The following is a 23,286-nucleotide window of genomic DNA, read 5'->3' as shown; positions in this document are numbered from 1 at the left end:
CCCCTGCCACGGGCCTGGGGCCTACCTCTTTTCTTCCTGCACATCAGTGCCTTTCTGGTAGGGACTCAGCCTGGCACTGAATAACACACCGACTGGGGGCCCCAGGGTGGCTGATAAGGGCACCTTGGCCTTCTTAGCCTGCTTCCCAAGCTATTCTCATCAGTGGCCTGACTGCAAGGGCTCCCCCAGGGAAAACAGAAGCCGCTGCTAGGATGATAAGGATAAAACATAATTAACATGGCCTAATTAGCCAGCAGGCGGCTGCTCCTGGGGCCCAGCTGCCTGTCCTGCTCTCTCTGCCTTATCCCAGCCCCTTGGTTGACGGTCGCCTCAGAGAAGCCCTGGATGAGGCTGAAGACACATCTAACAAGGAGGACACAGCACAGCACAAATGCACACCACCACAGGACACAACCCGATGACAGCAGACAAAGAGAGGCCGTACTCGGTCTTTGCTGGCGCAGGCGAAACAGAGCTGTCTGCAGTGGAAGGAGCAAGCTCAGGGGCTTGTCCACTGGCCCCAGCGGCGGGAGCAGGAGAGCCCAGGGCTGCAAAAACATCCTTTGCAAGGTCAATATCTGGGGTCTTGAAGTTCCCTTCGTCCATTTTAAAGTCCTCGCCCTGGGAAGGGTTTGTGGTGCTGACGGAGGCAGCCTCGCTCTTCGGGCTAGCAAGGGCTGTGGCTGCCTCGGCCGGGCTCTTCGCGGCTCCGGGCTGGGTGGGCTCCGGGTCCGGGCCTTTGGTGCTGGGAGCCTCCTGCTTGGCCTGAGGGGCTTCTGTGGCAGGGGCAGCCGCTGCTGCTAGAGGACTGGCTGCCCCAGTCGGGGTGGGGACTGGTGCAGGGGTGGGCTTGCTGGCCGGAGGAGCCTTAGAGGCCTCCCCGACACCAGCAGGGGCGCTTGGGCTGAGGACAGCCCCTTGGTTAGCCAGGACACTAGAAGACAAATTGCTAGCGGCAGGGGTTGAGGTCGGGGTGTCGCTCAGGTCAACGAGGGGGGCGACCTTGGGGGCTGAAGCTGGGGCCGGGGAGGGGGCAGAGGCGCTGGGCCCCTTGGAAGGGGTGGCCTGGCCAGCCGGTACAGAGTTTGAGTCAGGCGTGGCCGTGGCCGGCGGGGCAATACTGGAGGTCAGGGTGGTGGTCTCACTGGTGGGGCTGTTCTGAGCAGTGGCAAAGGTTTCGGTGATAGTGTCAGAGTTAGTGGTGACGGTGGTGACAGAAGGCAGCATGTCCTCGACAGTGGCCGTAGTGTCGGCAGGCAGCCTGTGGGAGGACAGGAAGTAGAAGAGAATAGACAATGAAGCTGAGACGTGACAGAGAAGCGAGGAGGAGGGCTGAAGCCCAGGACAGGGACCATGGGGGTGGGGGCATGCAGTTAGGCACAGGCACGGACACAGGCCCACAGAGAGAGAAGGATGCTGAGAGGAAGCACACGCCCAGGTGGGCAGAAGAGGACACAGGAGACGACAGAGAACGTGGCGGTCTCAAAAGGGACCTGCTAGCCCTTCCCTGCTGATGTCTCTCCAGCTCTCTGCATAGAGCTCCCTTTCCCTGAAGTCCTTGCAGACCTGCCTAGGGCTTCCTGATCCCTGCCCTGGATCTCCATTCAAGGAGGGGCAGGCTTCTGTTCAGCATCCACCTGCTCTAGGCTTCCCAGGTCCCAGAGGAACTGGGCCCAGCTGTCCTGCAGGGCTCCCCAGGGCACCGATGGGAAAAGTCACGAATAAGGCAGATCACGAGTACTCAGAATGGCTCATAGGAGCTGTGGGTTCTTCCAGTCACAGATTTTGTGGTTCCCTGAAACTCCATTCCCTTTAAGCCCATAAGATCCTTGACAGCTAGGCAGGCATTACAACCACAACTGGTCTGGGGCTCCGTGGGTCCCCGAGGTTTCTGAACAGAGGAGGGGCAGAGAACTTTACCAGGTCCCCAGCTTCCCTTATCCTTTCAGGGGGAAAACACAAAACCCTAGAATTTCAAGAAATCCTAAGCAGACTCTGCTAAGCCTTTCAGTGAGATTTTGCCACCTTAAGCCATTTCCAGAATATGTGTATAACTTGAGAACAGGGGCTAGGGATCCAGGGATCCCTACTTATACAGGAGCCTTCTAAGGGTACCCACAGCCACCGAAATAGAACCAGAAATGCCTGAGGTCAGGCATTTCTCAGCCAAGCAGGTCTTGTGGCCAAGGGTTTGGAATCCTGGCCTGAACTGTTTGGCCGGGAGCTGTGGGTAGGGGCACGGGAGGTGGGGGTAGGGTGGGGAGGTGGGTGTGGGGGTCTCTACGGAGCAGGTGCCAGCCCCTCCCAGCCCACGTACTCGGGCTCCGTCAGTGGCGTGGTCTCGTTGGGCTCTGTGTGTTTCCCTCCATCATGGTTTGGGGTCCTCTCCTCCTCCGTTCGAACCTCCACGATGGGCTCCTTGGACTCATCTTTCCTGTGGAGACAGTACTGCTGGTTAGACCCTAGGGCAGCTGCAGGGAGGGGCTCCCACGGAAGAGCAGCTATGACTCAACCCAAGGCTGGCACGGTGGGCATCCAGAGCCAACAGATTCAAATGTATAAGTCTCAGCCCAACCCTTGCTAGCTGTGTGACCTTGAGCTTCAGATTTAATCACCCTGCCTCAGTCCCTTCATCTGTAAAATGAGGCAAAAACACTGTTACTTTGCCTAGTTATGAGAATTCAATGAAAGGATGCATGGGAAGTGCTAAACACAGTGCCTGACACAGATCATTGCTCAAATACATACATCTGTCTCTGTACACAGGTATACATACATTTCTTTTCCTTTCCTTTTCTTTTTTTTTTTTTTTTTTTTTTTTTTTGAGACAGAGTCTCTCTATGTCGCCCAGGCTGGAGTGCAGTGGCGTGATCTTGGTTCGTTGCAACCTCCGCCTCCTGGGTTCAAGCGATTCTCCAGCCTCAGCCTCCTGAATAGCTGGGATTACAGGAGCATGCCACCACGCCTGGCTAATTTTTGTATTTTTAGTAGAGGCGGGGCTTCGCCATGTTAGCCAGGCTGGTCTCCAACTCCTGACCTCAAATGATCCATCCATCTCGGCCTCCCAAAGTGCTGGGATTACAGGCGTGAGTCACCCCTATACATACATTTCTAAGTACATGCACATACATGTATATGCATATACAGTGCCTGGCATGTGGTGGTGCTAAACAACTTATTTCCTTGCTCAGTCCCTTTCTGGCTTGCTCCAGCTCTGCTCCACCCAGTGACAGTCTTCGAAGGCTCTTGCTAACTGGCTTAGGATCTGTTTCTCCAAGATGCTGTTGGAGGGACAGTATCTGGATCATCAGCTCCATAAGGACAAGAATTTCTATCTGTTTGTTCCCTGTTGTACCTATGTGCCTGGGAACAGTGCCTTGCCTGCAGCAGCTGCTTGATAAATATTTGTTGAGTGATGGATGAATGAATGAATAAACAATGTACGAAAGCAAGGTAAGTGTGTCCCTCTAATGCTGCCCTACCCCATGGCAGCTCCTCCCCAGGTTTAGTTCTGACAATTTCCCTCATTTTGACCTACACAGGGATTTTCACACTCTGGGGAGATTCTAATACAAGAGATCTGGGATTGGGCTCAAGAGTCTACATTTCAAACAGGTAACCCCCAAAGACCATGCTTTGAGAAACTTTTCTCTAATGTTTTTCCCCCATCAGGGTTCCAAATGGAGAACGTGCAATGAAAGGAAAGGCACCAGCTGATGGCGCAGGGTGGTGCAGCTGCTGGGTCCCTGGGCTGGAGCAGAGCCCAAACCTCAGCAAGGTGGACAGGTCTGCACTCACGAGAAGGCGGCCTTGCCCTCCTCCATGTCCTTGCCCTTGGCCCCGGGCCCGGCTTTTCCACACAGGTTGACCGCAATGCACATGAACAGGCCACACTTGTTCAGGAAGTAGCAGGTGATGTCCACAACCACCAGGAGCAGGACGAAGATGACGATGAGGATGCCCACGATGGCCCCGGTGCTCAGGCCTGAGGTGGGGCTGCCGTTGGCTTGAGTGGGAGAGAGATGGCTGGTGGTTAACAGACTGAGATGCGAGACCTCCAGACCCTGCCAGCAAAAGCCCCTGCGGGTGGGGAGGGCCCAGAGGACAGAGTCATGGCATTCATGCCCAGAGTGACACCTTCCTGGGGACCTTCTATGCCCCAGAATTGAGAAAACAGGGTCTTTCTATACCTTCCAGAGGGAGGGATGACAACATCATCTCACAGATTGGGGAACAGGGGTGAGCCTGGTCAGCTGGCCTCCCGTGAGTCCTGGGAGCAGACTGAGCCCCGCCTGTCTGAGAACACCGGATAATGAGGCAGTTGGAGGGCGCTGCTGTGTTTCCCCTGGACCAGGGCAAAAGGCTTTGCAGCACAGGCAGGCAGTGATCACTGATTTCAGGCGGGGCTGTGGCTCCTCAAGTGCTCAGGGATAGGGGCCCAAAATGGGGTGGTGGAGGGTTCCTGGGGCTTTCTTGGGGCTTGTTGGGTTGTCCATCACAATAGCATCCCCATTATACTTCTCCACTTCCTCTTTCCCTCTTTAGGAATGACCCCAAAGGAGCCCTGCATTAGAGCACACTGGGTTCATAGTTTACCCTCCTCACTGCACCCCAGGAAGACAAGTGAAGCCTGGGTGACTCCAGAGACATGGAGGCCTCCCCAGGCCATGGGCAAGGTGAAAGGTCTGGGAATACTCACCATCTAGGAGCTCAGGCCTGCTTGGACCAGACTTCAGGAAAACCTGAAGTGAGTGCAGACTCACTCAGAGGTGCACACACACACAGGCACACTCACACGCAGGATAAATGCCCATGCAGACAGGCATGCACTCTCACATTCTAGCACCTGGCACCCTGGTTCTGGCTGGACTCACTGTGAAAGACTCAGCCTGTGTCTTACTTCCCTGGTGCCCATCTGCAATCCCCCCAGGGTCTTTGGCTATTGATGGTTTCACAGAGAGACCTGGACTCAGCTCTCTGGGGCCCCTGGGAGATCAACCCATGGTTACGATTGACACTAGTTGCCTGGGATGGACCAATTGACCTCTTGGTGGTTCCCATCAGTGTCTGGGAGACAGTGGTCATGATGCAGGAAGCAAGGACCCATGTGGAGCTCTGCCATTAAGTCGATGTGGGAACAATCACCCTCGACTGAAATATGGGCACTTCTAATTCATCTTTCCTCCAGAACAACCTGCTTCCATAACTGGCAGCCCTGCCCCACCAGTAGACTATGTCTAAAGCTTCCTGTGCTCTCAGGGCCAACTGAAGCCACCCAGGACTGCAGACTGAAGATGGGAACTGTAGCCAGCACTACCTGGGGCTCACCCCACCAGCCACCCCACTCCCAACCCAGCTCGCTAGGCTTTGCCAAGCACCAGGCCAGGCTCAGCAGCTTGCGAGCCATGTAACATGCCAGATAGATAGTGGAGGGAACATGTAACTGAGTAACCAGCACCAGAGCTGGGCCACACATTTTTTGTTTTTCATGCAGCCTGTATTTGCGGGAGGGTGGTGGTATTGATGGCTCTGTGTGCCCCAGGGGTCTCTGTCCAGGCACTCTAGTGCTTCTCTGGTGGCTGTCCCTCTCCACTGGTCCATATTTCAAACTTCAGTTTGGGGAATGGGCCATCAGCCTAGCATGCCAGAGAGGATCCCTCACAAATGACTCCTGAGACCCCTGGGTGCAGCTCGTACATGTTTTTAGTCCCTTTGGGACCTTGGCTTGCCTCCCAGCCCTTCCTCCTCAGGCTCTCTGGCTGGTCCCTGCTGACCTCGCACTGAAGATCCTAGCGCATTCCCCCAGGAAGGCTTGAGATGGCGAAGAACTCTGCTTGGAGAACCCAGCTCTGGACACCTGTCTCTGGGCTTTGGCAGCAGGAAGCTGGCCACTGGCCTTAGCCGTCAGCTAGAATGGGTCATTTTCTTAGCAGCCATGAATGCAGAGGTATTTCTGGTTAGTCTCATAAGAACAAAACCATCCACTTCCCCAGAGTCCTCACACATTCCACCCAAAAAGCAAAGGAGACACAGGCCTTCTTGGTCTTCAGGATCCCATAGCTGTTTCCCTGAACAGGGAAGAAACTTTAGCCTTGGGTTTTCTCTCCATTCCATGACACAGGGCTCCAGGCCACTGCAGCTTCCGGACATCAGTACCCGATAGGTGTAAAGTGCCTACTCCCTGAAGAAAGATCTGAAAGTATTTTTTTGATGACAGTGGGGAATATGTCTGGATTTTTGGACTCAATGGCACTAATTATATCTTCTGAGGTTTATGTGTAAATATGATTTTGTGAAACTAATCATATCTCTAAAGAGGAAAAATAAACTCCTGCAAAGCTGCTCTATGTGCTTGAGAGGACAGCAGCTGGGACAACTGCTCTGTGCTCATCAGACCCAGCTGGAGGGCGGCACTGGCACTGCGCACATCCAGGGGAGGGCCAGGCAGGGAAAAGGCTTCTGAACTGTGGCATAAACAAGTAGGGCAGCGGCCTCCCCTTTCATTTGAATATAAAATTCAAAGTCTTTCTCCCGGCCTAAAAGGCCCACCATCTGCTGCAGACTCTGCCCACTCCTCTGTTGGGCCTCATGGCGTGAACCGGCAGCCTCCCTTCTGCCTGCTGAACACATCCAGCTCAACCCGCTTTAGGGCCTTGATGATTCTGTGCCTGGAACACTCCCTCCAGGGTGGCTCTCTGTTGTCCTGCAGGCCTCAGTCCCAGTGTCACCTTCTCAGAGAAGCCTTATCTGATCTCTTATCTAGTGTGGCACCTCCAGCCAATACCTACCATGCTGCTAGCCTGTTTTATTCTCTTCTAACTACTATCTGCCACTTTCTGTTCATTTACATGCTTATGATCTAGCCATCCCCCCTAGGACATCCCAGCAGGTACCCTGCCTGTCTCTCTTGTATCTCCCCAGCATCTAGGACAATCCTGATTCACAGAAAATGTTCAAAGAATACTTGTTGCACAAATGGATGAGTGTTTAGTCTGGAGACGAGAATACTATTTCCAAATATTTAAAGGTGTTATAACCAGAAGGAAGAAGTAGTCTTACTGTATATGGCACCAATGTGTGGAAATTATGGTGGTGGCAGATTTTAGCTCCATCTGAGAAAGGACTAATAAACAGGGCGAATCCAACATAGTGTGGGCTGCTCTGAGAGGTGAGTTCCTTGATGCTGAAGGCACTCGAGCAGAGGCCAGAAGACCCCTTGGCAGGGACGCTGTAAGGCTGTGGATGAGGCTCCCACACTGGGCAGGAGCATGGGTGGAGAGTGTCTCTTCAACCACAAGAGCCTGTCATTCCAAGTCATACATTCTACACTGCCTGGCACACGGTACAGGTTCCCTAATGCCAGTCTCCAGAGTGTGGACTGAGAAAGACTTTTTCCTGGAAGACCAAAATGCTCGGTAGGTCCCATATTTAATCACTGATCCTTGTGATTTTATTTTTGCATGACAAATACCTTTAAACTCAATATATCTCCACCTGTAGCAAATTCCTAGGGTGTTTGTTAACAATTCAGAATCTGGGGCTCCCCACTTTTATGGGATCTGAATCACTGGGTATGAGGCTCAGGAAACAGGAGTTGAACAAGCAGCCCAGGTGATTCTTATGAGGACCACGCTCCTAGGTCTTCCCTCCCCTGCATTACAAAGAGGAGCACGTGATCCCATGATTTGCCACCCCAGGGTGCACTGTGCTGTCTCACCCAGTGACCCTGAAAACAAACTTGACCTAAGGTATTGAGTGGATCAAGAGAAAACAAAGAGTATGCCCCAAAGGAAAAGCGACCATACTGTATGCCAACACTGAGTCTAAACTCCTCAAGCAGGTGAGATGCTCTTTAAGCTAGGAAGAGAATGTTTGTGGCTTTTACAAAAAAGAGGCTGTGAAGAAGGGACAGGCTGTGAAATGGGCAGCAGGGTATTGAAGGCGAAAGCCAACACCCATTCCCTCTCAGTGGCTATCACAGAATTGTTTAGTCCAAGATAACTAGAAGAACAAAGGCCATCTCCTGCCTCTTGTGTAATATTTCATAAAAGGAAAAATATAAACCTCCATGGGTCTGTCTTTGCTATGGTCTTCCCTCAGCCCTCCCTTGACTAACTCACCTGTGCACCTTGGATGCAAAGAAGGCTTCTGGGGAAGAGTTTCCCCATAACCTCGAGGTCAGAGCTGCCCAGGACAGGGAGATTATGAAGGTGGAGCTGTCCATCTTCTGTGATTCCTGGCTTGGGAGGGGTTGGCACTAAAGAGGGAACTGGCTTGCTCCAAGAATGAGACCCACAGATGCCTATTTTTGTATGCCTTAATATAGGAACATGGGTCTCACATTTTATAAATATCCAGATGGGCCTGAGTCCTTGTGCCATGAGACCCTGGTGCAGCAGAAATGCCCTTTTCACCCCCAAGACTCCCAGAAGATGGTCAGACTCTTGGAACTGTTGAGCTGGGGTTCTGGTTCACTCATAAGCCCTTTACATGTCTGCTTGCTCCTTCGAATCAGCTAAACAGATGGCTGGTCTCAGGGGCTTGCAGGATGCGTCTGAGTTAAGTGTGATTATGAATAGAATACAGTTTGCAAAGAGAATCTTCTCTCAGATTCCCTCTCCACAAGCTCACTCTGTGCAGCCTCTGTTAGGGATAGTATAAAGGCTGCTGTGTCATCAGGTGACCTTGCCACAGAGTTGTGCATCTGTTGGCTCAGAGTGTGGCCCCATCCCCATAGTGACCACCTCCCCAGTTCTGCAAAGGCATTTTCCCCTCCCACTGCCTGCTGGGGACTCCAAGGCAGCAATGCCTCTTAACAGCTCTTAGGATGCCTGGGAAAAAGAGATTGCTCCCCGTTAGGAAGAAAAAGTATTTCATTCACCAGGCTACTATTTCTCTAGGTAATAGTCTATCCAGGTACATGAGAGGCGGAGGGAAAGGGTCTTTGCTGCTTTGTCAGACACAACTATTGAATAAAATCAAGCCACGCTGGTGAGTTCACATGAACTGTTATTTCCTTTAATAATGCAAAGGTGTAAACTTCATAAAGCCCTCACTGATTATCTACACAACAATGTTAGCATTCTTATTAGTAGAAAAACATGATCCAAACCTGCTGTATAAATAGTCCAAAAATGAGCAAAGGGGCCCCATGGTGTGTGGAGCATGGGCAGCACAACTACAGGGCACAGGGGAGTGGGGTGTGGCTGAGCAAGGTGGGGTGCACTCACTCCTGCAGGGTCTCTGAGGGCTGCTGTCTCCAGGACTCCTGGCGGGGCTGGGGCTGCAGCTGTCACCAGGAACTCAGTGTCCGTGGGGAGTGGGTATGCGCTAGTGCTGCCTCCTGAGGAGCGCACTGTTACAAGCCGTGGGTCTGTCTAAATGGGACCCTTGAGGACCCTGACATTGTTTCAGCTGAGGCCTGCCTGACCCTGGGATGTGTTGAGATGACAGGGCCACGTCAGTCCTCTCCACACTTAGGACGAGATCTCCAAAGGGTCCCTTCAGAAAGATGGACACTGCCCCTCTCCTGTGGGTGGTCCTGGGATCAGGGGGAGGCAGACTCCCAAGCTGGGCCCTCCTAGGATGAAGCCGTGTGACTTCTGCCCAAGGTGATCCTAAGAGCCAGTAGCTCTCCCACACTGACCTGGGATCCTTATGCTCTGCCCTGTGCCCAAAAACCATGCCTGCCTCCACTGCCCTGGTGTGAAGCGCCATCTGGGACTCCAGCGGGGAGAGTTTTGTGGCTGGGTTGAGAGGCACTACCCTGCCTGAGCTACTGTGCAGCATGGAGCCTCTGATGTCTGCACGTGAGCCTCTAAACTGAGCGCTGGGGATTAATGGCGAGCGCCAACATAGGTGGCTTTGCCCCTCAGACCACAGCATGGGATCATTTGGAATCCCAAAGGGAAAGGCTAGTCTTTGAACATTAAAAAATAATAACAACAGAAAAAAATACATAAAGAAACCAAAAAGAACAAAAATCAAGCTTCCATGGAGATGCTCAGAGATGAGATATGTAGAATGATATGTGACCACAATGGGGGGAGGGAGGGAGTTTTTATTCAGTAGAAGGTCCATCCCCAAGCACACACACTGATATTACCAAGCAGGATTCAGCCCTGAGTCTCCACAAGGGACCTTAACAAAACACACCCATTTCCTCTCCTGGGTGAACTCCCAAGCAGCAGGGAGGAGCAGCTGGATTTTCAGGAGAGTTTAGAAAATGTCACTGAACCAACGCACCAATACAGAGGCTGGGGCATTCAGGAAGCACTGACAGGTTGGCTCGGCCCCAATTTATTAACCCTCCTGGGCTGGGCAGTCTGGGAGTGGCCTGTCCCTCTCCTTCTCTACTGAGCACACACAGGCCAGGTAGGGGACTAATGCCTGGTTCACAGTGGATGCTTCCAACCTGTCCTGTAGACTGATGCTCAAAGCCATTCTGTGGGTCACTGCTGAACCACGGCCCCACTCTGTGCTGATCTGCGACATGCTGCCAGGCAGCAGGGGAGTCACCCCGATTGGGAGACAAACACCTTTCAAAGCTGACACTTGTTGGCACATCATGGCTTGGCCCCGTTCACAGAGACAGTGTAAGGTGCTGGCCGTAATACGAGGACTGAAAGCACATCCCAGAACGTTCATCAGCCCCAGAAAATATCCAACAAATTCAACTTTTTTTCCAGTGCATGGGCAACAGGGGTGACTTCAGTTGCCCATCATGTCAGCAAAACGCTCATGTGAATCAGTGCGGTCTGGCTCTTTTAACATGGGCACTTAAATGCTTAATTGCAAGCAAAGCCAATTATTATTGAAGGGAGGACAAGGAGCACAGAGTTAGAATGAGGGGAATGTGTGGTGATTTTAACAATCTGACACAAGCTTTAGAAGGTACTTAGAATTCTTCCTCTGCTACATCATATTTAGGTTTGAACCCAAAATGCAACAAGTAGCAGATATGCAGAAACTTCTCTGTAAATCTAGCATGATGGTTTTTAAAAATAGCATTTAAAGAAAGAGCTCTCAAATTCTTTTTACTGCCATTAAAAAGGGGGCAAACTCCTTATGAAGTGGCACAAAAGTATCTGTGAGTGGTGACATGTCTGGAGGTAAAGCTTTTTCCAATCACAAAACCTTCTCTTCCACACAGAATGGTTGCTCAGCAGCTGTGGCCATGGTGGTCCTGCCAGGTTCTTCCAAAGGGGGCACTGATCTTTTTCATAGGAACTGGGCTTTTAAGCAAATTTAATTTTTGTGTTCAAGTTCCTAACAGAGCAAAAGAAGAGTCACTGCAGAGAAAAGCAATGAGACAAAGGTGTAGGATGCAGAATTGCCTCCCAAGGTTGCTGCAGGTGTCAAGCAATGGGTCCCCAGAGATAATGTGGTTGTTTAAAAACAAATGTGGCAGTGGGGATGTCCCAGTGACGTCCAAGGTGACAAGTGTGACGACAGACACAGGAAGGGGAGGGGGACAGAAGGAAAGGGAAGGTAGAGACAGAAACAGAGAAAAAAATAGATAAAAAGAAAAAAAATTAGGTCAACTATAGAAAACACAGAATCAAAGGTTAATTCAACTTAGTAAATTAAATTGACAAAGGTTAGAGAGGGTTCAGTGCAGTATCAATACCATAAGGCCAGTTCAGAAGCTCAGCAATGCCAGAAGCAGCACAGCAGGGTTAATTTGGGGGCTAGGGATCAGCGAGCAAATGAAATTAAAGTGAGAGAACAGAAGCCTCCACGCTAAAATACAAGAGTTTGATTAGGAGAGTGTTACCTTTCACTAAGGTGAAGCCTCTTAGATACAGCCAGCAAGTGTATTGTCTTCTAGTGTCTAGCGTGTTTTACCCATAGTGGTGGAGATGCATTGGATCGCTGCACTATGAGTCAGCACACTGTGCTTAGGGATTGGGGATGGCCTTGTCAGAGATGAAGCAGGCTTTTCTTCCTATGGCACAAGTCCCACACCACAGTGCTGTTAAAGGAAGTCTCATTCTGTACCCCGCTTCACCTTCTACCCTGCTTGCTGACCACAGAATTCAACCACAAATGTCCAACTTGTAATTCAGAGAGGTTTTATTCTCGGATCCCAATTCAATGGCCAGGAAAGTCTAACCGAGAACACAGCCACCACCTTCTCAGATCTGTGCAGGAGAGCCACAGAGCCGTCACCGGTGAGGTGAGCAATCCCCCAGCCCTCTCTGGCTTAAGTGGGCACCTGGGCGATTCACAAGAAGGATTCTGATATCTCCAGCAGGCACAACTCTGGAGGACAAGGTCTACCCAGAATTTCGGTCTCTGACACAAAAACCACAGAAGCCAGTGCTGCTAGGAGTACCCAGCATGTGAACACAGCAGGTCCAAACAGCCTACCCAGTGAGTCTCACCCCAGGGAGCAATTGCCATAAGGAATCTGTCTTGCTGCAAAGGGCTTACTCAAGCCTCACCTGATCTCACCTCCTAAGTGTCCCATGAAGGCCAGACAGATCTGGACATTCACTCCAAGCTGTCGATTGTAAAGGAATGGACCAAAGAATGGAGAGAAAGAAGGGGCAGAGGAAAAGCAAGGAGAACCTCCATTTGAACATCCTGTTAAGGTATAATGAGGACATTTCCTGCAGCCTTGCCCACGTGCCTTGCCTTCTGCACCGACCATCTGACCAGCGACTGTGGAGAAACACCCACCCCAGCAAGCACTGGGGAGCCTTCCTGTCAATGCAGGGTGGACCAATTGATGCTTCTGACCTACAGTGTAAAACTCACCTGCCAACTCACTGGAGGTCCAGCACACGTCTCCCAGACACACACATCCATGTACAAACAACCACTGGGAACCACACACTGATCCCGTTTTGTTGCTGCTCTCCTAGCCCATTTTTGCACATACATCCCTGCATCATAGGCAGGCCACAGCCCTCTGGCCTGTCTCCTCCTGGGAGGAGGAATCATGACCACCGAGCCAAGAGCCGGGCAAGCACTGAAGACAGGGCAGGCATGAGGGGGGCTGCCCAAGGCCGTCTTCCCACCACACTTGAACATGGCAGGGTCTATGGGGCCCCCCAACAGGCTGCAGCTGTATGTTCTATGCCCACCTCTCCTGCCTGGGGTTGGCATTTGGCTGGTCTGGAAAAGCAGAGTGATCAGTTGAAGAGCTCCTTCTTCTCTGAGGGATTTGGCCAAAAAGGAGACCAGCAAGGTTAGGTCTTGGATCCCTGGAGACAGATCTGTATCTCCTAGGAGAACTGCTGCCATCACAGTCTCTAGCAGACCGGATTGCTTTCATTGATGGTGCTTTCCAGCATCTATTTTCTCCACTTGTTCTATTACAAGTGGTTCAATTTAATCTGTTTCCATTGAGAGGCCTTTGGTAGATAGGGTTTGTAAGTAAATGGGCATCATCTCTTCCTTCTCTTAGGGTCACCACAGAGAAGAGATTTGGACCATGGCTGTGCTCATAAAGCAAGCATCAGATAGGAAGTGCTTAGAAACAGTTATGTGGTCCAAGTATGATGTGGCAGATGGCAGATAAGGTCTCAAAAAAGGATCCTTACTCAACCAACTTCCAAGGCTAGGCTGGAGCTGGGGCATTTCCCATCTGAGGGGTCCAATGGACTGATTGGCATCAGTCCTTCAAGGCCAAATGGGACAGGACCTTTTCTCCAGGATGCTTGGCCAAGCCTTCCTGGGGGTCCAGTACATCTCACCCCACTGCACAGATAGGTACAAGGCAAAACTAAGCTTTGCATGGGCAACCAATCATGAGGATGGCTGTAAGCAAGCAAGTTGTCAGGGTTGTTCAGGCGCATTAGGAGGTGCAGCACTTGTGCATTAATTCAAAGCGGAAACAAACAGAAAGCAGAGGCAGCCATACCTGGGATGGCTGTGGGCTGGGCCGAGGTCCTGAACACAAAATGAGCCGCCTTGGATTTTCCTTGCTGGTTCTCAGCCACCACGTAGACCTCATACTCAGCATTCCAGTCCAGGGACTTCAGCATGACGTGGTCACTGCCAGACGGGAGCCTGATCTCTGGTTTCCACTCGGAGGAGAGCTTCTGGGAGAAACCGGCAAGAAGGATACAAGAGACCAAAAAAGCTTTAGATAAAAGTACTGGTAAGACCAGACAATAGGCAAAACTTACGGGACTCAATAACTTTTGGCATGAAATCATGAAAATAAGAAGCAATGATGGGGGTGGGCGCGGTGGCTCATGCCTATAATCCTAGCCACCTTGGGAGGCCGAGGCGGGTGGATCACTTGAGGTCAGGAGTTCAAGACCAGCCTGGCCACCATAGTGAAAACCCGTCTGTACTAAAAATACAAAAATTAGCTGGGCGTGGTGCCACACACCTGTAGTCCCAGCTACTCTGGAGGCTGAGGCAAGAGAATGGCTTGAACCCAGGAGGTGGAGGTTGCAGTGAGCCGAGATAATGCCACTGCACTCCAGCCTGGGTGACAGAGCAAGACTCTGTCTCCAAAAAAAAAAAAAAAAAAAAGCAATGATGGGACATGGTCTTTATTCTTTACCAGCCTGAAAAATTGCACAGGTCAGGAGGTCAACTTTGCATGCTGGCAAACACAAGCAACAGCAGATGCCAGTGTGGCATTGGGCCAACACCGTCAAGGTCCCATCACCTTCAGGGCATGCAGAGACTCAAGCACCACTCCTGTCTCCCAGGCTACACTCTGGTGCTGGGGACATATGCATAAGGATGTCCTAGAAGAGTAATAAAACAAGTACATTTCTTGTCATATTTCAGGATGCTGCTTAAGTTAAAGTGGCTGACTCACCTTCCTGATGTGTGAATACTGTGTAGATTCCAGTTTCGTTAAAAATGAAAACTATGGCCGGGCGCGGTGGCTCACGCCTGTAATCCCAGCACTTTGGGAGGCCGAGGCGGGCGGATCACGAGGTCAGGAGATCGAGACCATCCCGGCTAAAACGGTGAAACCCCGTCTCTACTAAAAATACAAAAAATTAGCCGGGCGTAGTGGCGGGCGCCTGTAGTCCCAGCTACTTGGGAGGCTGAGGCAGGAGAATGGCGTGAACCCGGGAGGCAGAGCTTGCAGCGAGCCGAGATCCCGCCACTGCACTCCAGCCTGGGCGACAGAGCGAGACTCCGTCTCAAAAAAAAAAAAAAAAAAATGAAAACTATTTTTGTTGAGCCCTTACTAAGAGCTAGGCACTACAAAAGCTTTACACACATTTTCTTGTTGTATTCCTACAACATGCCTGTGGGGTTTTGTCAGGCTCTTACTAAACCCAGTGATGGGGAAGTGAGAGAGAAGTAAGGTGACTAACGTAAAATCACACCTGCAGTCAAGGCTGGAGCTAAGTTCGTTTGGGCCCAAAACTATGATCTTTCCTTTTTTTTGTTTTTCTTAATTGTGTTCTTGAAAATAACAGTTTTAATTGATACAAAATAGCTATACAGATTTTCAGGGTACATGTGATAATTTAATACATTCACTTAATTTGTAAAGATCAAGTCAGTATAATTGAAATATCCATCACCTTAAATATTTTTCTCTGGGCTAGAAACATTTGAGTTATTTTCTTCTAGCTAGTTTGAAATATACAATAGGTAATTGTGAACTACAGTCACCCTACTGATCTATCAAACACTTGGCCGTATTTCTCCTATCAAACTGTATTTGTTTCCATCAATCAATCTCTCTTTGTCTTCTCCTCCTCTCATGATCTTTCCCTTCTATAGTAGGGAGCTCAGCAAACATCTGTTGGACTGAATAAGGTTTTTCTATTCCATGCAGTGTGACCTGGTCTCTACAACGGCAGCAAATAGATGGAGGTACCTCGGGACTAAGTTCTGCTGTCAAGTCCAACAGTGGGCTGCTCAAAGGGCCCACAAAGAACAATAATTAGGTAACCACCTCCCTCACCAAACAGTTTGTGGAAGAAGGCCTGAGAAGTCTTCAGATGGTTTCACCATTGCACAGCCCATCTCTTTGCAATCTTTGGCCTTTTCACAAGGCAGGTGCCCTGGGATATCTGCTGGGCACACAAGAAGTCTTGATAGATGTTTATTGCATGACAGGCTGCTCCTTGGAAGGGCAGAACACAATAGCACTGTCACCTGGACAGTGGTCTAGTAACTGTTGTAGGCCCATGGCTAAGGCTGGATGAGGAGTTATCTTACAGCAAAGCAGTCCTCCCAGGCAAAAGGGTTTGCACTAGCCAAAGAGATGCCTTTAGGAATGTGACAGTGCTCATGCTGCATGGGCAAATGCCAGTGGTGCTGGAAGGGGAATTCTAGTTTCCTTAGAGTCTAACCAGTCTGGCTATGCTGTAAGCTAGGATGTGTATATATCACTATGTGGCCCCACTTTCATTTAAAAGAAAGCAATTCCGGTATCTTTCCTCTTCATTTCTCTGTCTTCCTTGGCAAACATCATTATACAAGAGACAACCAGAATCTAGAGAAAATGTTATATTATACTTATTCATAATATAAAATTATAATATTTAGCAAACATGAATGAGGTTTTGAAGTGAGAGAGGGTGGTTACGGTTGTTGAAATCTAACATATTTCAGCGTTGTGCCCAGCTGTGTCTTTCTAATGCAGAGCTGCCTGCTGCAGCCACAGTGGCTCCTCAGACAAACTGACATCCGACATGGTTGGAGATGTCATACGGGAGATGGTTCCAGCCTGAGCCTGCCTCTTAGCAGTAACCATAGTGACCATTTATAAAGGTTTCCAAGTGTCAGGTGCATTTCAGGTTCTTTGCATATATTATAATGCATCTTTATAACAACTCAATAAGCTATTTTATCCCCATTTTACAGATGGAGAAATTGAAGTTCTGAAAGATTAGGTGACCTATTCTTCCAGAATAAGTAGTAAAGCTAGAATTGGATGCCATGTCTGTCTGGCTCTAAAACCTATGTTCTGTCCATGGGGCCACATCAGGATAACCATTGGAAAGGCATCCCAGCCTACCACATCTCTGCTTCCAGGGGTATATTGGGGGCCACCTGCCCAATCCTTGCACCCTACTTGGCAGTGAGGAAGCCATGGGGACCTCTCATTCACTGGGATCTCTGGACTGGGCCTCAGGGCAGTGACAGGCCTTTCCTACTATTTCAGCTCACATCTGCTTACAAATTAAGTGGGAACAAGGCCTCTGCAGCTGAGAAGTATGCCTGCGGGGCTCTGTGCTGAACTGACTTGCCAGAAGACTAGCTAGTTAAAGACCTATCACTTCCACAGGAGCTGATCACAAGGCAGAGAGGAAGTAACTCAGCTTCCCAGAAAAAGTCTTCCTTGGGGCTATGTGAAGAAAGGAAACTGCTCCCTGGTTCATTCTTTTCTCTACTACGAAACCCCAGCAAGAGGTTATTCTCAGTGCTCAGATGTGGCCTCTAAATCTCTCAGCCATTGGTTATAGTTGAAGATGACCAAGTGTCATTCTAAAACCAAAATGGAAAGGGTGATTTTCAGTGTGGGGGTTGTGATAAAAGGTGGAATGAGGGGAATCTTAAGTGGGTGGTGAGCAAACCAGGAGAAGGTGGCTTAGAGCCAACTTGCTGTTAGCAGGATTAGGACAGCTCAGGTGGCCAAGTGAAGGGCTGGTGAGGGAACTGGCATTGTTTGAGGACCTTAGGCAGCCTTGGGCAGTGGGGAGAGCCCAGCCTCTCAGTCAGGCTTGGATTCAAACTGCCTCACCCAGCTGCGTGAGATCCAGCAGTTATTGACTGCTGTACACCCACTTACTTCATCTGTAAAGAGGGGATAATGGTAAGACCTACTGTACAGGGTTCTTGTGCAGAGAAAATGCATGTGATCACAGTGAGGTGCAGGTGCCTGGCCTACAATACACATGTTATCCAAGGTAGGGATTCTTATATATTAGTATGGCATTTACAAGAAGTACTAGATAATGGCAAAATAACTTTGTAGAAAAGTTCAAGACACAGAAAAATCAACCATGGTATGGGTTTGTCACCACCACAGTCATCTATGAGGTTTCCAAATGGACCCAGTGTGAACATGACCTAATAGCTGTAGGGCTGTCTTGGGATTTTAAGCCATGGCCAGGGCCCATGGGCCACCTGCCAGACACAGAATAAGACCCCATCCCACCCCTGCCCCGTGGGCTGCCCCTGTTGTTTCCCTAGCAAGCTGGGTGCCAGGGTTGCAGGGTTCTGGTGAAGTCTGAGAAGGAGGCCACTCACCGCTCGGTACCTGACCAGATAGTGTCTGATGGGGGAGCCGCCGTCATCCTGCTTGATCAGGTTCACTTTAATAGAGTTTCCATCCTCTCCCATCTGCCCTTCGAGCTTAGGTGCACTGGGTTCCCCTGAAACAGCCAGTTAATTCACATGAAATTCTCATCCACAGAATGAAAATCCAACCCATCTGAATGGGATGGAGTGACAGGGTGGGGCTGGACACTTTTCTTGCTTTCTCAGAAATTCAAATGGTTAAAAAGCAATAAATATAAAACTGAATTCCAGGTAGATGCCTCAGACTGAGCCCAAACTGAGAGTGCCTCTTGGGAATGTTCTGGTAAATAGCCTTCCTGTGAGCAGGGTCCTTTCACCATTTTAGGAATAGGCTTTTTTTTTTTTTTTTTTTTCCCCTGTCTCACTGGTACTTATGTTTCCTTTTAGCTGGTCTTACAACTGAAGATTTAATTTTTATAAGCCTGACACATCTTGAGGAACAGCCTGAAATAGGAGAAAATAGAAGTGTTTGAGTAGGAAACTCCCACCTATAAAATTATTTTGTAAAACAGCCCAGTTTCTTGCCGGGACACATCACTCACCCCTGGGACTGGGAGGCCTGATCTCTAGTGGGAGTAAATAATGCTGCATTCTTGGGACTGGCTTTTCATGAACGACATTTTATTACTTAGATTCGTTTAAAAAATAAGAAGTTTCCGGTTGTGATTAAATAAATCACAACTTGCCCCAGGCAAGTTTTTTGTAAGTATCCTTATGGCTCTTATGCAAGTTTCCTGTAAGTATCCACTAATGGTTCAAATGAGTGAGTGCTAATTCTCAAGACTTTAATGTGTTAAAGTAACAATCAGTGCAGTCTTTTTCTTTGTGAGAGGAGAGAGAGAAAAATGTCTTTAGCATTTCTCAACAGAAAAACAGTTGTTTCTTGATTTGCAGTATACACTCAGCTTGTAGCACTGTGAATCCAAGGTCGAGAAGGAAGATGAACTTGCATGTGACAAACTGCTAGGGCTAGGATGGTTCTCCAGTGAGTAAGGCACTCATTTACTTTAAAAGAAACAATTGCATTAATATATGCTGAAAGTAATAAGGTGAGAGGACGTCTCATATACAAAGTTAAAATTAAGATTTAACACACTGGGGAATCCTGCACTTCTGTGAGGAGCTATCTCTGCATCTATTTCATAACCTCAGAGAGAAAACTTGGAGAGGCTACAAAACAGTTACCTTCTGGGTGGGTCACTCTGGCTTGCTCTCTGGAAAACAGAATCACAGACGTGTGACAGAAGAGCCACAAAATGGCTTGTCACCAGGGATTGGATCTAAGCACCTAAAACTACACCATTGGCCATTTATGAGACGGCTGCAGGCACAGCGAGAGTCACGCCTCACTTCTCATTCAGCTACTCTGGGAACCACCTTCCTTTGATACGAGGAGGAACCAGAGAGAAGGCTAAGGAAGAGCCCACTACTTATCATCATAGGGCCAGCAGCATGCTGATCACCTGGGCGCTTTTTAGACCTGTAACAAGATCCTTCCAGTGATCTCTGTGCACATTTAGGTTAGAGAAGTAGCAGTAACAGGCATAGATTAAAAGCTGCAACAAGGAGGATGCACAATGTCTGGAGGATATTTAGGAAAAGTTGTGCTTATTATTTGTTTTCTTAGATCAATAATTAAGGACAAATAAAAACAGGAATAAAAAGATGAATGGACTTCAGGCAAAGACCTGTCCTGTTTTAAAGCCACTATCTAGCCCCAGGCCACAACTATTCAGTGGAAAATAGGTAGAAATTTGGTTTAGACACGTCAAGGTATTTAGGCTTTCCAAATTCCTTCGGACTGTCCCAAGTCCTAGATAATACATCAGTTATGGCTATGTCATTATAGATATCCAGTGCTAAAAAGTGACTCAAAGTGGCATAGATTTTAGATCAAGGCAGGAGCTCTGTGTAGATTCAGAAATGCTGAACAAATAGAAGGAGACACAGGAGAACTTTACAAATTGTATTCTCTGATTAAATTGGGGTGACCAACTCATCCCGGTTAGTCTGGAAGATTCCAGGTTTTAGCACTGCAAGTTCAACATCCTGGGAAACCCTTCAGTCCCAGGCAAACTGGAATGGTTGATGACCCTAGACCTACTGCAAATGAACAAATTATTTTAACTTTGTTCACTTAGAATCATGACACTGACTCTGTGCTGAATGGTCTACCTGCCCTAGCCTGGAGGGGATTTTTATAGGCAGCATCAGTGGCCCTTCCAACATGCCCACTAGTCGAGGACTGTGTCCTTCTCCCAAGGCCCCCTTTTAGGGATCAGTCCACTGGGGCCTCCCTGGCTGCACGTTCCTAATTAGTTCCTCTTGAAATTGAGCTGTGTGAGTTTTCAAGGCTGAATCAATCCTGCAAAACACTGTCTCTGAACTCCGCATCATGGGGGGTCTGTTGCCTCGATCAAGTTTCATTCCACATTTACAAAATATGGGCCCTGAATTGGATGCTATTTAGGGCTCCTTCCAGCTCTGTTGTCATGTGAAACAGTGACAGCCACTGCACTAGCACGGACTACCAACTACACCTGGGCTGTTTCTCATGACATTGTGGGAAACAGAACACAAAATTCACGACTTTCAGCCAATTTTAGGGAGATGCACTCCAAGGTCAACAATTTCACATCTCTAAGGCAGAAAGTTGTCAACTTTTTGCTTTAAAATGTTGAAAAAGTTATCTCAAAAGTTTTGTCTTTGAAAAGAGACCCCCAAGTCTCTTCAAAGACCTAAGAATAAAAATCTCTCTAGGGAATCCTGCAGAAACCAACTTCCCTGATGAAAGTACTCTCTTATCTTTAGATTTGTTTCAGAAAAAATGTAATTTGAATCGGAGAAAAGCCATCAAAATCTATACCATAGTTAGAACACATTTGACATAGTTAGAACACTATAATTTGTATCATTTTATCTGAGTCTATCACAGTACTCTGATATGTGTGTATTATTTTCTCTTAGAATTTAGAGCATTTTATATTAAATAATAATATTGGCTGGTCACAGTGGCTCACACCTGTAACCCTAGGACTTCGGGAGGCTGAGGCAGGTGGATCACTTGTGGTTAGGATTTTGTGACCAGCCTGGCCAACATAGTGAAACTCTGTCTCTACCAAAAAAAAAAAAAAAAAAAAAAAAAAAAAAAGCTGGGCATAGTGGCATGTGCCTGTAATCCCAGCTACTGAAGAGGCTGAGGCACGAGAACCACTTGAACCCCGGAGGCAGAGGTTGCAGTGAGCCAAGATCATGCCACTGCACTCCAGCCTGGGTGACAGAGTGAGACCTTGTCTCAAAAATAAAATGAAATAATATTTAGGTTTATTATTTAGAGTGCTTTACCTACGATTTATTCAACAGATGTGTACTGAGTATCTACTAGGTCCCAGGTAGTCTATTAGGCACTGAAGTCTCAAAGGTAAATAAGACACCATTTTGTTTGCCAAATGAAAAAACTAAGTTATGATTAATTCTTTTAAAAGATGATGAGGTTCTTGGACGGATACATAATGCTTCCTATGACTTTTTTTTTTTTTTTTTTTGAGACAGGGTCTTGCTCTGTCACCCAAGCTGAAGTGCAGTGGCACAATCATAGCTCACTGCAGTCTTAATCTCCATGACTCAAGCGATTCACTCACCACAGCCTCCGGAGTAGCTAGGACCACAGGCACATGCCACCACACTCGGCTAATTTTTTGTAGAGATGGGGTCTCACTGTGTTACTGAGGCTGGTCTTGAACTTCTAGGCTCAAGCTATCCTCTCACCTTGGCCTCCCAAAGTACTGGGATTACAGGTGTGAGCCCCTGCACCCAGCCTATGACAGTATTTCTACAGGAAGCTCATATTCAACTAATATCACAGAGATTTTGACCGACTTGGTGGCTCTGTAACTTGCTGTGAGTACATGAAAATATGGAAAGAGCAATTGTTTCATCAAGTGTCTTATCTTCCAGTGTTCACTGTCAGCAAATTCTCTTAAAGATTAGAAATGGGGTTAGAGAAACTTTCTTAGGCTTTCTACACAAAGCCTGATGAGGGAGGGGCTGTGGTGGGAGAAAAGGGACCTTGCCATTCAGGAGGCTGACTGCTTTATCGAGCACATTAGCAGAAGAAATGCCTGAGAGAGTCCTGATGTGCACTGTGTTCTGAGATGGCTGCCCTGATTGAAATCATTATGAGTAAGTTCAGTAAAACCATTATTGTAATTATTTGTAAATGTTGGTTTGCGATTCAGCAGCAATCGGCAGGTTGCTCCCAGAAGACCCCTGGGGTTAATTATACCCTTGGAGTTTCGCTTTAGCCATGAGTCAAATGTTCCCCCCAAAATGTATTATGTAAAGACTACACCAACGGAACATTAAAAAGAAACTTTGCCAATAACAAATATAAAGTATTGTGCAGTTCTGGTATTTTCTAGCAGGATGTGAATCATGAACCCAAGAAAGAAAGAACGTACCATAGAGGCCACATATAGTCAGATATATCATAGGCAGGTCCTATGAAATTCTCCCTTAGAAACCATAATTGAAATGTATATTTCTGGCCATGCCGATTGCAGGTTCTCTGTTTGTAATTACTCTGCTACTGTACCCTTAAATCTGAATCAGCTTCATGCCCTTCCTCTCATCAGCAGAAGCCCCAGGAGTTAGAAAACTCCACTGGATATCTGAATTCCACAACAAAAATTATAGCAAATCCAGGGTACTTGGACAGCATTGGTGAATTTTAGCAGGAAAACAATATTCTATTTCTCACTCAAAGGAGCCCGAGCACCAAGAGTTAGCTGTGTCTTCTGAATGAAAGGCTGGGGTGCCAAACAGGCATCCTCAAGAAAGCCTCTATCTGGGGCTGGGCACAATGGCTCACGCCTGTAATCCCAGCACTTTGGGAGGCTGAGGTGGGTGGATCACCTGAGGTCAGGAGTTCAAGACCAGCCTGGCCTACATGGTGAAACCCCATCTCTACTAAAAAAATAAAAAAAATTATCTGGGCATGGTGGCATGCGTCTGTAATCCCAGCTACGCAGGAGGCTGAGGCAG

At 48.5% G+C, this 23,286-nt stretch overlaps 1 protein-coding gene and 1 long non-coding RNA gene across 32 annotated transcripts in view; one reads left to right on the top strand and one right to left on the bottom strand.

Moving 5' to 3' along the window:
• NCAM1 (neural cell adhesion molecule 1) overlaps window positions 1-23,286 on the bottom strand; it is a 317,017-nt gene that overhangs the window by 4,243 nt on the left and 289,488 nt on the right. For 14 of the 31 annotated variants that reach the window (NM_001400612.1, NM_001400609.1, NM_001400608.1 and 11 more), the window contains 3 exons: window positions 18,193-18,317; window positions 13,871-14,048; window positions 8,997-11,348 (listed from right to left, as the gene is read on the bottom strand). In NM_001400612.1, the coding sequence (NP_001387541.1) occupies window positions 11,269-11,348; window positions 13,871-14,048; window positions 18,193-18,317 (383 nt within the window). In that variant the 3' untranslated portion in view covers window positions 8,997-11,268. Of the gene's footprint in view, window positions 1-445; window positions 1,262-2,317; window positions 2,435-3,798; window positions 4,007-8,996; window positions 11,349-13,870; window positions 14,049-18,192; window positions 18,318-23,286 lie in introns of those variants that run through there. The other 17 variants (NM_001242607.2, NM_001400616.1, NM_001400621.1 and 14 more) reach the window with 4 other exon arrangements.
• Window positions 293-4,662, top strand: NCAM1-AS1 (NCAM1 antisense RNA 1). The gene is made up of 3 exons (NR_034101.1): window positions 293-570; window positions 3,673-3,990; window positions 4,546-4,662. It is a non-coding gene; the product is annotated as an NCAM1 antisense RNA 1 (long non-coding RNA).

The sequence above is a fragment of the Homo sapiens genome, chromosome 11 (genome assembly GCF_000001405.40).
Source record: "Homo sapiens chromosome 11, GRCh38.p14 Primary Assembly".
NCBI classification, from domain to species: Eukaryota; Metazoa; Chordata; class Mammalia; order Primates; family Hominidae; genus Homo; species Homo sapiens.
The sequence above is the reverse complement of the archived record's forward strand: the minus strand, read 5'-3'. Positions and strand labels throughout refer to the sequence as shown.